The sequence below is a fragment of the Homo sapiens genome, chromosome 1 (assembly GCF_000001405.40).
Source record: "Homo sapiens chromosome 1, GRCh38.p14 Primary Assembly".
In the NCBI taxonomy this organism is placed as follows: Eukaryota; Metazoa; Chordata; class Mammalia; order Primates; family Hominidae; genus Homo; species Homo sapiens.
The window spans coordinates 180883347-180896111 of record NC_000001.11 but is presented as its reverse complement, the minus strand read 5'-3'; the positions used below and the strand labels follow the sequence as shown (position 1 = coordinate 180896111).

The 12765-nt window shown below is 39.7% G+C and overlaps 1 protein-coding gene across 3 annotated transcripts in view; it reads right to left on the bottom strand.

Moving 5' to 3' along the window:
- Window positions 5833–12765, bottom strand: part of XPR1 (xenotropic and polytropic retrovirus receptor 1) — a 258258-nt gene continuing 251325 nt past the window's right edge. For all 3 annotated transcript variants that reach the window (NR_137330.2, NM_004736.4, NM_001135669.2), the window contains one exon: window positions 5833–12106. Coding sequence is in view for 2 of the 3 variants with exons in the window: in NM_004736.4 (NP_004727.2) it covers window positions 12046–12106 (61 nt within the window). In the remaining variant the exon portion in view is untranslated. The remainder of the gene's footprint in view (window positions 12107–12765) is intronic.

The following is a 12765-nucleotide window of genomic DNA, read 5'->3' as shown; positions in this document are numbered from 1 at the left end:
ACCAGGTGCACTACTCAAAGCTCTGATCATTAGGAAGCTTTTCCTTCACTACTGTCTTTCAAGACTACCCTTGTGAGGCTGCAGTGTAGCTACCATCTGATTTCAGCTTGCATCCGTATGTGGAGCTGACCCATCCATGAAACAAGCTCAGGCTTTCCCCTCCTCTTTCAACTGGTCTTATAGGATCCCCCGTACAGCCACAGGTGTGCTCTGAAAGGGGAGCTGTGGTACAATGTAGCAGATGACAGGGGGTCTGGGTTTTCTGCTCATGCAGCCTGCTTGTGTCCTCTGACCCCACTTGTGCTCATTTCTGGAGGTACCACATCCATCTTACAATGGATTGTTGCTGGGGCCATCTGACTTATTGGGCTTGATAGGACACAGTACTTTTTGGACAGTTCTAGCCACATTGTCCATGGTGACCATGGTCAGACACTCTTTCTCCTCTACCAGGGCTCGCTAGCAGGGTAGGAGTTGTTTTTCAAAGGTATGCAATTCTTCACTGAAGATGGCGGGGTCTTTCTCTAGAGCCTCAGCGGCTTGCATTCTGATACCCACTGGGGCTTGCCACAAACTCTGCACAATATCTTTTCCCACCACTGATACTGCCATAGAGTCTGTCAGATCATACAGCCTAAGCCACAGGATTGCTTGCTTGATACCCTGGGCTGGTTGCAGAGCCCTTTCCTGCTCTGGGACCCACTCAAAAATGGCAGTCTGTCATGTCACCTGATATGAGTTGTAGTAGTATCCCCAGGTGCAGAATATGCTGACTTAAGAAACTGAGGCTTCCAGGCACTCTGCTTTCTTCTTCCTTAGGAGGTACAAGGTGCGATAATTTGTCTTTTACTTTGGAGAAGATGTCTACGGCTACTGGACTTGATTACTGAACTCCTGAAAATATTACAGATGTAGCAGGCTCCTGAATCTACTCAGGATAATCTCCAACCCTCGGGGAAACACATATCTTACCAAGGTCTGCAGTGTGCTAGCCACTTCTTGCTCATCCAGCCCAATCAACATGGTGGCATTGTTGTAATGGATCAATGTGATGTTCTGTGGATGTCCAGCTGGTCCACACTTCTTTGGACTTAGCATGGCCTTGGAGCAAAACTGTTAATGTGTATTATCATTTCCATGAAAATGTGAACTGTTTCTGATTCTGACTGGAAGAGAAAAGAATGCCTGCACTAAATCAACAGCTGTATACCCATATACTTAAGGCAGTATAGATCTGGTCTAATGAAGATACATCTGGCAGCATGCAATTGGGATTATACTTGATTGAGCTTGTGATGGTCTACAATGACCCTCCCTAACCCATCCAGTTTCTTCAGGGGCCCAAGTGGTCAATTAAACAAGAGTGGAGAGAAGAGGCATAGGATGTGGCAATAGTCTATATTCCTCTGTCTCCCCACAATATGGTCTCCCTCCCTCCTTTCCTCTCCTTTCCTTCCCTTCCTCCATTGTCTCCCATAGAAATTCTGGAATTTTAACTTTGTTCAACATGGGCCATCACTTTTTCCAGCTTTCTAGAAGCCATGCTAGCAGCAAGTTTACACCAACACCTGGGATACTTATGCTAGGGAGTTAAATTCTGTATCTTAGAAAAACCCTTTCAAGTCAAAAATTGTCCTCTCTTCTACCTTATGTTCTGGTCCCCCTCTTCAAGTGCTCTCAGAATCTCCTCCAGCTCCTGTCAGTCCATGCTGACTACATCTTACAGTTCAGTATAGTCCCTATTCTCCCTTAGCAAGCCCAGCATGTCCCCAGCTGAGTCATAGAGGACTCTGAAAGGTGCATACATTGTCTTGCACAAGAAGGGCCAGTGTAATATTGGGAATGGAGAGTGCTAGCAAGGAATGGGGGAGGCATATGTATAGGTTCAGAATGTTCTGAGGGGTTCAGGAAGTAAAAGTCTTTGGGGGGGATCCAAGCAGATATTGCCATCTCATGTGTTAGGTTTTCCCAATTGGGTCCTTGACCTTACATATCAGACCTGCCTTGGTTGGGTGTTTTAACTGTCTGAAATTCTGCCACTCTATTAAGCCCTGGGCTTAGTCCTCACTTTCTCTTCCCTTCCACTGCAGATGAGAGATTCTCTGTATGCAACTAGTGGTCCTCGGGCTTCCACATCTGGCTTCCAGTTGCCTGGTACTTGCTCTCTGATGTTCATTATCCTTCTTGAGGCATCAGTGGCACTTAGCAATAGCCATCCACCCTCATTGCCCCATAGTTACTGTCTCCTCCCTATATCTCAAATGCCTGACACACTGCAAGTGCTTGCCTTACTGCAGTACACCATCCTCTCACTGGTGAAAGTTTTAACAACCGGAAGGAAGGGGAGGGGAGGGGAGGGAAAATAAGCGCTTAGGGAAAGAGGGTGGCTGCTTCAAGGGAGAGGCATCCTGTGAAAAGCAGCCAATAGGGAGTTGTTTGTTGTTACTGTTTAATTTTTTACAAAATGCTAGATTTGTCTTCCATGGAGGGACAGAGGACAAATTTCCAAAAAGCCGTAGTCAGTGCGACCCAGGCTTTTAGAGAAACCTATATTTATGCATTTGTGGGAGGGAGGGGGATGTTCTTTGATTTTCTTTAAAATGGTTATATTCAGACTCAAGCAGGCATAACTTTAGAAAGAAGCAGTAATTCGGCCGGGCGCAGTGGCTCACACCTGTAATCTCAGCACTTTGGGAGGCCGAGGTGGGCGGATCACGAGGTCAGGAGATTGAGACCATCCTGGCTTAACACGGTGAAACCCCATCTCTACTAAAAATACAAAAAAATTAGCCGGGCGTGGTGGCGGGCACCTGTAGTCCCAGCTACTTCGGAGGCTGAGGCAGGAGAATTGTGTGAACCTGGGAGGCAGAGCCTGCAGTGAGCCGAGACTCCGTTTCAAAAAAAAAAAAAAAAAAAAAAAAAAAAAAAGGGAGTAATTCACAAGGCACTTCCTAGTCTTGTCTGCCAAGCAGGAAAAAAAAAAAAAAAAAAATTCCCCCTTCCTTCTTTTTTCAAGGGAGAGAGTATGTGGGCTACGGAGCTAGTTAGATTTGGGTCCTCCTCCAGGTTCAGTAATTGTTGGTGTCCAGAGCCAGTTACTTTTCTCCTCTATACACGGGATGGGCACCACACGACATGCACTAATGTGAGATGTGTCTCCCCTGCAGCAGCCAGGAAGGGTCAGCTGTGATTACACTGACCCTGGGATAAAACAAAGTCCACAGAATGAAGAAGCACCTGCTATTGCAGTACTGGTGAGGGCAGCATTGGAATCAAGTTTTCAAACAACCTGACTTCACACAAGGATCAAAGTGAGGAGCCTGGCAAGTCCACCAGTGATGAAGCACCAGTTAGAGGCAGCAGTTGATCAAAAAAGCTGATAACCTCCTAAATTTACTCAGCAGCTCATCTACTGATAGACTCCTGAAGTTACCTTTCAGTTTAACAAATATTCCTTAGGCCCCAACTATTTACCAGGCATTAAAACATTTAGTCAATATGATTTTGTGTGACCTCCTGCTGACAGTGGAGCACCTTTGGAAAAAGGATGTCTCCTTTCCTCTGAACTGTGTTCCTATTAGGGTTGCAGGCTGGTTAAGACTAGGGCATTGCCACAGAAGGAAACCAGGCTATGTCCTCATGGACGGTCAATAGCTAGCAGCAGGCACACATCCAGCCCGGCAAGTCTTTTGACCACGGCTGCCTAGGGAGGGGCTAAAATTTCCTACGGTATCTATGAAAGTGTAGAAAAAAAGTTTAAATCCAACAGTCGACAGGAATAATATTTGAAGAACTGATGTTTCTAAATTATCTTGTGTATTTCCTTGCCAAAGGGATACAAAAGCCCTGATTAACTGAACTTTAAAAACTGTATTGGCCCATCTAGTCAGAAGACAGGCTTTGAGTAACCACAAATAAGCAAATTTGTTTACTTCAACCACACAACATAAAATATTGTGATATTTAGAATACATGATAATTTGAAATTTAGTAAAAGGGGAGAGGGTTTGGGAATTAGTATTAATATGCTTCTCCTTGGTTCTCTTCTGTTACCTGCCTGTTCTCTTGAGTTACTTGGTTTTCTCCTTAACCTAGAAACTGACCATAAGGAAGCAGAGTAGCATAGTACATGTATCGCCAAATATCATACCTTGACTTTGATTATTCACATAGGTAGAATGGAAGCCATAGGTGTGCTCTAGGTAGAGCAAGGCAGAATACTATTACTATCATTCCCATTCAGCTAAGCAATTAATATAAAATTTATTTAAATAAGGGGAAATTTTCATTTTATAAAGGTAAGCATTGGTTGAACTTTGGTGCTAATATGTTAATCAGTGACAAAGTGAGTGAATGATAAAATAGATTATAAGAACAGTTTTTGGCAATAGAAGATTCTGAAGAAACAACTCTTGACAGATCTGATACTTTTTAAAGGAAAAAAACAGAATAAGAGACTTTAATATCTGCTTGGGAAGGGGTGAAGAGTAATCTCTAACTTGAGATAGAAAATTCAGATTACCCTGAGGCAGTGATACCTAGTAAGAGGACGGTCTAGCTTTTCTGGCAGTGGTTTCAGATAAGTATGTAGTTTAGAAATAATTTTATCACCTTTCCCTTCTTGTCTCCATAAAACTAACGATAATAAAACCAACTTCAACTAAAAGTATTAAAGTAATGCCTAGCATATGATAGGATTAACACATACTCAATAAACACATATTAATTTTTAAGAATACAGGAACTCCACAATTCTTCTAAGGGAAAAGGTGGGACACTAGAAAAAGAAGTCAATCAAAAAGTATAAGCCAGGCATGGTGGTGCATGCCTGTACTCCCAGCTATTTGGGGATCACTTGTGCCCAGGAGTTTGAGGCCAGCCTGGGCAACATAGAAAAAGACCCCATCTCTTAAGAAATAAAGTATAAAATAGGTCATTATTCCCATAACCTTAAAAAATATCGACTAAAAGTTATCCATATAAAGATGCAGGTCACTAAAACTCTAAGGATTCTTCTGGATATGTCTAGGATGGATACAAGACAGAGTGGCTTCCTAGAACCACCGGGGATTGTGGACTGCTGCTCTAGTGAGGTCTTTGTCTCTTCAACAAACTGAGATGACTCATTAATCTACATATTTCTGAGATGCTACATATTTGGAAAAATATAAAATACTATAGGCATACAAATGTTGAGTATGTATTATCAAATTGTAAAAGTGGTGTTGAGTATCTAGTGATTCTTATATATTCATATCCTATCTTTGACTTTGGCCTGGAAACTCCATATTATCATATTCTGATTTAGCCTACACAGAAATATAGTAATAACAGAGTTTGTGGCACCAAAGTAAGATGAAAGGCTTTGATGCTTTAGTCAATAAATTATTTTTCCCTTTGCATTGTGGGTATATTCATCTTAGGGTCAGTTAATTTTGTAATCTTTCCTAGATATATATAAGGAATAATAATTAGTCCAGGAATTCTGCAGAAAAGTCCTATGTTCCCTCACAGGGCATGGGTATGCAGTGATAGCAGTGTCCACCTCTCCAAAATGTAATTGGACACATCATTTCACCTCATATTTGTAATATTTGAGATTCTTTGTGCGAGTAAAAGAAAGATTTGTTACAACAATCCCATTGCTTTAGAGTCACACCTCACATATTACCTGAAGATAAAAGCCATTTAAACTTCTTTTAACTTAGTAGGATAGTTTAAAAATTTCACCACTGTAGTCTGTTTGCCCTAACCCCATATGAAAATTAGTCCTAAGGGGAACTATGTTCAGGAATTCAAGAAACCAAGAGAGAAAAACAGTCACACAAACCATTCACCAGTGACAAAGGAGTCAGCAAACTGTTGGAAAACAGAGAGAAATTGTAATAATGAAAAAAGGACAGAGTTTAGTGACCAATCACTTATTTTCTTTAAAAACACATAACCACATTAACTTTTTGCTTTATACAACCATCTAGAAACTATAAAACAGTACCACATTGTGCATTTAACCTACTTATCAAGAAGGGAACTTCATAAGTCATAAGAATTCTACCCATATAGGAAGGAAAAAGGAGACAGCTAATAGCATAGTCACAGATACAACATGAGTCCAAGCAAGCATCAATTCTTCGACATCACCTTTTCCATTTACCAGAGTGGAGACTGAGAAAGAGAGTGAGGGAGAAAAAAGAGGGAAGGAAGCACCCACAGAGGACTAATCACAATCCATAGTTACTTTTGACAACTATAGCTCAGGGTTTCATAGAATAGTATCATTTGACCAACACAGTGTGGTGGAGGGAGAGGGGTGAAGGAAACACAAATAGAAGGAGAGAGTTTGAACAGAAAAATACAATTTTCCCCCTATTCCCCTCCTAAATACTCTTCATTGATACAAGCTTCTGTGCTAATCCAGAAAATGGCAAGAAATTAATCTTCACAACGTGATTAAGAGTTCTGTTCTTTTTGTAATTGAAATGTGAGTGGCTCACAATTTTACAATTCAAAATAACGTCATGAACAATGACCCTTTAGGGATTTTCCACAATCTTTCCCTCCAATTCCCACCATGCTGGTGTTGCTACAGGGCAATCAGGGAAGTGCAGGTAGGGACTTCAGAGATAATGATCAAGGGATAGTGAGATGGAAGCCTGGCTCTTTCTTAGAAGTCCACAACTTTCTAGAAGTACTGCAGTCTTTCCCTCTGATTTGTGGTGGCACAGAGGAAAGGGCATAGGAAGAACTAAGGTAATATGGTGGAAGTTTAGTCAAGTAACTGGTTTGAAGGTATACGAGACTGTGTACTTAGTAGATATACTGAATCCAAGGCAAACAATAGGTTATTTGATTGTCCTCCTTAGGTTGATGGCACCATACAAAAAACTGAGGGTGGCTTTGATTTGACGATAAAATAAACCAAAGGTTTGCTACAAGGAAACATACTTCAGTTGCAAAGTTGTATAATGATTCTCCTCACTTTAAGGGAAACTCTCATCTTGTTCTCACTTCCTCTTCCACCATAAATAAGCAAACATATTCTGGAAGGCTGTTTTCTAGGGGCAACTCAGTATCAGTTTTGATAATTCATACAAGAAAGGCATCATGAGCCATGCCAATCAACAGGCTCCTCTCTGTTCTCAGGCAAACTTCCTGTATGGACTACCTTAGGCTCTTCCAAACCTAATGAGATGTTTTTACTTTTTCATATTTGGAGAGTATGCTGGTTAGATCATTGGTTTGTAACACCAACCAGTGCAAATTTCTCATGCTATCATATAATCAACTCTGTCCCACATTACCATGTGCTCTAACATTGTATAGACTTAAAATACAATGCAGAAAGTTGAGAGTTTGTAGGATTTACTATCAAGACTGACTTCTGAAATGCAGAAACGTATGTGTTTGCATTTAGAAAACCTTTAACACTCCTTGTCTTAGCTAATGATCACAAGCAAGAAAAATTTAGATCACTCAGAAAAAGAATATGAACAAAGCTGATAAATTGGATTTATTCTTCTTTACCTAACTTTTGCAGAAGTTCTACCAAAGCTTCAATTGTCTTCACCTGGTCACTAGAGACCGTATCTGTAATGACACTGAATTCCTATTAGATTTGAGAAAAGTGTGGTGATTTTGTAGTTGAGAGAGCTACAAATTCAACTTTCTTTTTTTCTCTCAGAAGCTATCTCAATTTTAAAAACTCAAATGTTATACAGTAAGAGGTACTTGTTTTTTGAGAGGAAAATTTCATGTAAACCATTAAAAGAAAACAATAATGACCTGAAATCTGCTTACCAGATTTGTATCCCACATTTTAAAACAATGCCACAGATAGGGTTATTTTCTTAATTATTTTCCTTAGAATAAGAAATTTTTGTGGTCACTGCTTAGAAAACTGCATTTGGGAATAAATAATTATTTCCTGAATAATGCAAAGTAATGGGGAAAAGATGATAGGAAAATAAAGGCAGGTCTTTCCCAGCAATTTAATAACCACTAAGCGGACAGATGGAGGCATCACCTTCGCGTCATCAGGCTCACGTACTTTCCTAACTGCCTTGCTGCGGCTTACTGCCAACGTCCAACATCTTCTTGCTCTTCTCTGCTATCTCCAAAGTTATTTCACTTATCTTCAATGAATGTCTGTTAATCTGATACCTGCATGACTCAATACTACTTTACTTTTTTCTGTTCTTACCTTGCCGTAGTTCACCTATCCAGAAATGGATGATCTGCTTTCTCTAGTTACTGTGAATGTACTTTGGTCAAAGCATGGTGGAAAGATAATATACATCAACACGTTACTTCTGGTAAAGAGCTCAGTTAAAGTCACAGAACTCTCATGTTTAGAATATCAGGAAGTCAGGGATCCTAGGGGCTGGGGCCCATTTTCCTTCTTTAAACGGTTTTTATAAGTTACTACTGAGGTGAATGGTGTTCTCCCACACCTTTGCTTCTGACGGAAGTTAAGCAGCTTGCCTAAGGAGCCTAATGGTAGAGTGCTGAAAAAAAGTTGCACATGGGTTTTTGACTACTTTCCAATCTTACAAATGACCATCATAACCTAATGATTTAATCTTTGATTTCATTGTTTCTCTGTATGCTATGAAATCACCAATTACGCCACTGTAATGGTATAGGCAGCCTTAAATATAGGCACTCATTTGTGCATAGACAGTAAACCACTCTTGTCTTTTAATTTCTCTACACACATCAATGCTTTCTATACTACCATAAAATGAAAAATGAGTTTTATTCATTTATTTAGACTTCCTCTTCATTCCTTTGAGGACTATTTTAATTGATATTAAAAACTGAGTGATTCTCCAAAATAAAACTAGAATTTCTAAACCTAAAATCAAATGAAGTTTGTATTTGGTTAGGTTGCTGCTCCTTTAAAATGAGTCTGTGATTTTTTTTGTTTGTTTTTGAGATGGAGTCTTGCTCTGTTGCCCAGGCAGTGGCAGTGGAGTGCAGTGGCATGATCTAGTCTCACTGCAACCTCTGCTTCCCAGGTTTAAGCAATTCTCCTGCCTCAGTCTCCTGAGTAGCTGGGATTACAGGCATGCGCCACCACGCCCAGCTAATTTTTGTATTTTTAGTAGAGACGGGGTTTCACCATGTTGGTCAGGCTGGTCTCGAACTCCTGAGCTCGTGATCTGCCCACCTTGGCCTCCCAAAGTGCTGGGATTACAGACGTGAGCCACTGCGCCCAGCTGATGTTCATTTTTAAGAATTCTATTGAGAGTTTCAGTGTATGGGAGCCTCCAATCAAATTGTAAGGTGGACACAACATTCGCAACTGCTAGGGCATATAAAATTTAGGAGAGGAAAGTGCACATTGCCTTTTTTGAAAGAAAAAAATTAAATGTATGCTTTGTCTCCCAAGCTCTCTTGATGAGGAAAAGTCCTCTTTTCTCTTTACAGCTTTAAGAGGAACATAAAGCTGTGTACTTAAATACACATTTAAACTTCTGTCACATAGCAAGCTGAAAGTTACATAAGCCTTATTTTTGAATAGACTATGCCAATCCGACAAACACTTCAGAAAAGGATTACATCTATCATTGCATCATATGTGAAAGAATAAGACCGATTAGGGCCTAGAACTGTAACAGTTGAAGAAAGACTAAACTGGCCATAGGATACATTAATGTAAAAACACTGGGGAATTCAAACAGCAGAAGTCAACTGTAAGATTTTATGTGTGCCATCATAGAGATTCACTAATAAAGAATAAAGTTAATAATTCAAATGTCTCTGGATACACATTAGTACCACCAATTTTATTTATATAAGAAATGCCTGGTCCACTGGACTTTTCAATTTAACTCAGTAATAATTACTGCTGTTTCTTGACAGACCAGTGATATTTCCCCCATAGTTTTAAAGTACAAAAAACAGAATAGTTAGGGGAAAAAAATCTCAAGTATAAATAATGCAACCTTTAACCTACCAAGGGTCACTAAATTGTTAACACTGATTATTATAAATGATTCAATTTATTTAAACTAAAAAGCATTAATTAAACATTTCCTCTTCCATTTGGGCCAAGGGACATGCTTAACAAAACACAAAAAAGCAATAGAAGCACAAAGTTGTATGATTTTTTCAGAAAACAAAACAAAACAAAAAAACCTCGATTCAAAAAGGGAACACATTTTGGAAGCTAGTCAGAATAAAGATGGAAGAAACTACTTTAAAAAGAAACTATTTGTCAGTTAATTGATAAAAATTTTCTAGTAACAGTAACTTTTACTGGAGTTACGACAGGGATGGGTCAAGACTTGTAATACATGGTGGAAGTGCTGATGATAGGAGTGTATTAAAGGGCAGTAACCGAATGTTTTGACTAAGCGAATGGTAATAGCTGCCCTTCCACTTATTTGTTCCTTTGTTTATAATTAAGCTGAAAATTATAGGACTAAATTTACTTTCATGAATCTGCTGGTATTGACTTTGAAATTTTCATTTGGGTCTGGGGGTTATTAAAACACATTTTACCATGTCCTGGAATTTATATTAATTTTGTTAGATAATGAAATGCTAAATTTAATGCCAACCATATTCAATAAAGTAATATCTCTTATGGTTTTCAGGCTTATTTGGATGACTAAGGAACAAAGGGAAGAAATGAGACAAAGAAGTGACAATGGGCACTGTGGACAGATCATAATAGTCTATAATTTCTAAGCAGTGTACTTTTCATGTATGACCAAGTAAAGATCCCTAAAATTTTAAAACAGGTTTTCTATGGGATGGCATGAAATCCAATGTTCATCCTTTAAAACTGCTGGGAGAAATGGCTGCCAAGGTCTTTTGTATCAACATAATATGAATGAGGAAGTATAATTTGTTCCATGTGCTCAAAAATATAGTTTCCCCATGACAGACTTTTAATTTGATCAAATTCTGGCTAAAGTGGTTGAACCCAGAAGAAAAACTATCTAGTGAGGGCACACAGAGCCTCTGAAATAGCTCTGTCTTCTGATTCAGAGCTAGTAAAGGTCACGCTACAGGGACCATACATGTGGATGCATAATAAGGCATAGCTTCAGCTGTTAAGGTTGAAATATGGGCCAGTGTATTCCACATCTGTTCCTTAAAAAGTTAAAAAAATTATCAGAACCTCTTCCATGAAATTCAGCCGGTGGTGTGAAGTGTGGGATTCCTTGTTATGAGAGATATGCTCAGGACTCTAAAGCAGCAGCAACTTAAGAAGTTAGCAATGAAACTTTGGCTTAAAATAAAAACAAAGAAAAGAAAAGGTCAAACTGGTGCAAGTTGTCTCCTGAAAGAGGTATGTGGGACTGACCCTCATAAATGTCATCCAACGTAAGTTTCCCCTGCCTTCTTTTACTGTTATCACCTTCATTGCACAGGAGTTATATCATTCTGTATGGTTAAGTTTCATAAATAATGAGAAAACTATGTGTAACAAATACATCATATTTCCCACCCACCCAGCAACCCTTCCCAAAATAAGAAAAGTTACATCAAATTAAAAAGTAGCTTCATGAATGAAGGTACTGCTTTAAGTTGCACTTTTCCTGCAAGTGCGGCCAGTGCCTTTGCGCTGGGTATGAAGGAAAGAAAAAAATTCTCCACATAAACTGACAAAAAATTTAAAAACCAATGTCCGGTTTCAACCAGTCAAAACCGGGCTGAGCGGAAGCCGAGATATCTCAGTACCGTCCCATCAGAGGGTCCTTGCAATGCCTGTTCTTCATCCTGATAGGTATCTATGTCCTTGTGATTGTAAACAATCCATAAGATACTATGTTTTGTTTCTTAAAACATCCTCTGATTGGCAAATGAAGTAAATATTTGTTTTGAAAATAGAAAATTAAAATTAAACCAGAAGAAAAGAAAAGAAACACAGTGAGCTTGTTTGGAGTCCATAGGATCCGATCCGGAAGAGCTCGGAAAATGTGTTATGTGTTTTCTCCTGTTTTCGGCTGGAAAGGTACTAGAGGTTGCGTTGGTCGAGGAAAGGATTGTAGAGTAGGAAAACCAAAGATGTTAAGCTAGACTTCAGAAAATTCAAGTGTTAGCTTCATCATCTGTGTCTTCTATCAATACCTTAGTGTCACGAGCCTTGGATCTAGTGGTAACAAGGGGGACAAAAAGCACTTAGTCCATTACCCAAATATAAACACTTTCACAGTATTAGACACATTTCCAGTCTTACCATCATTAAACATACATCCTAAACAGGGACTATCTGCTGTACCAGACGGATTATTCTAGAGTTTCCTATTCAATTTCAGATACTATTGGAAAAACACTAAGAAACTAGATCACAACCAGAGGAAGGTAACAAGAACAATGGCAGGGTATGTGCAACGCAGAAGGTAGTGATCTGGGTTTGAGTACTGACTTTGATTTTTTTTTTTTTTTTTGAGACAGAGTCTCGCTCTGTCGCCAGGCTGGAGTGCAGTGGCATAATCTCAGCTCACTGCAACCTCCGTTTCCCAGGCTCAAGCAATTCTCCTGCCTCAGCCTCCTGAGTAGCTGGGATTACAGGCATGTGCCACCACGCTTGGCGAAGTTTTGTATTTTTAGTAGAGATGGGCTTTCACCATGTTGGCCAGGCTGGTCTCAAACTCCTGACCTCAGGTAATCTGCCCGCCTTGGCCTCCCAAAGTGTTAGGTTTACAGGTGTGAGTCACTGCACCTGGCCACCTGACTTTGATTTTATGATGCATCTATTTAACCCTTTGAGTGCCCGTTTCCATCTCTGTAAGGCAGGAATGGTAACAC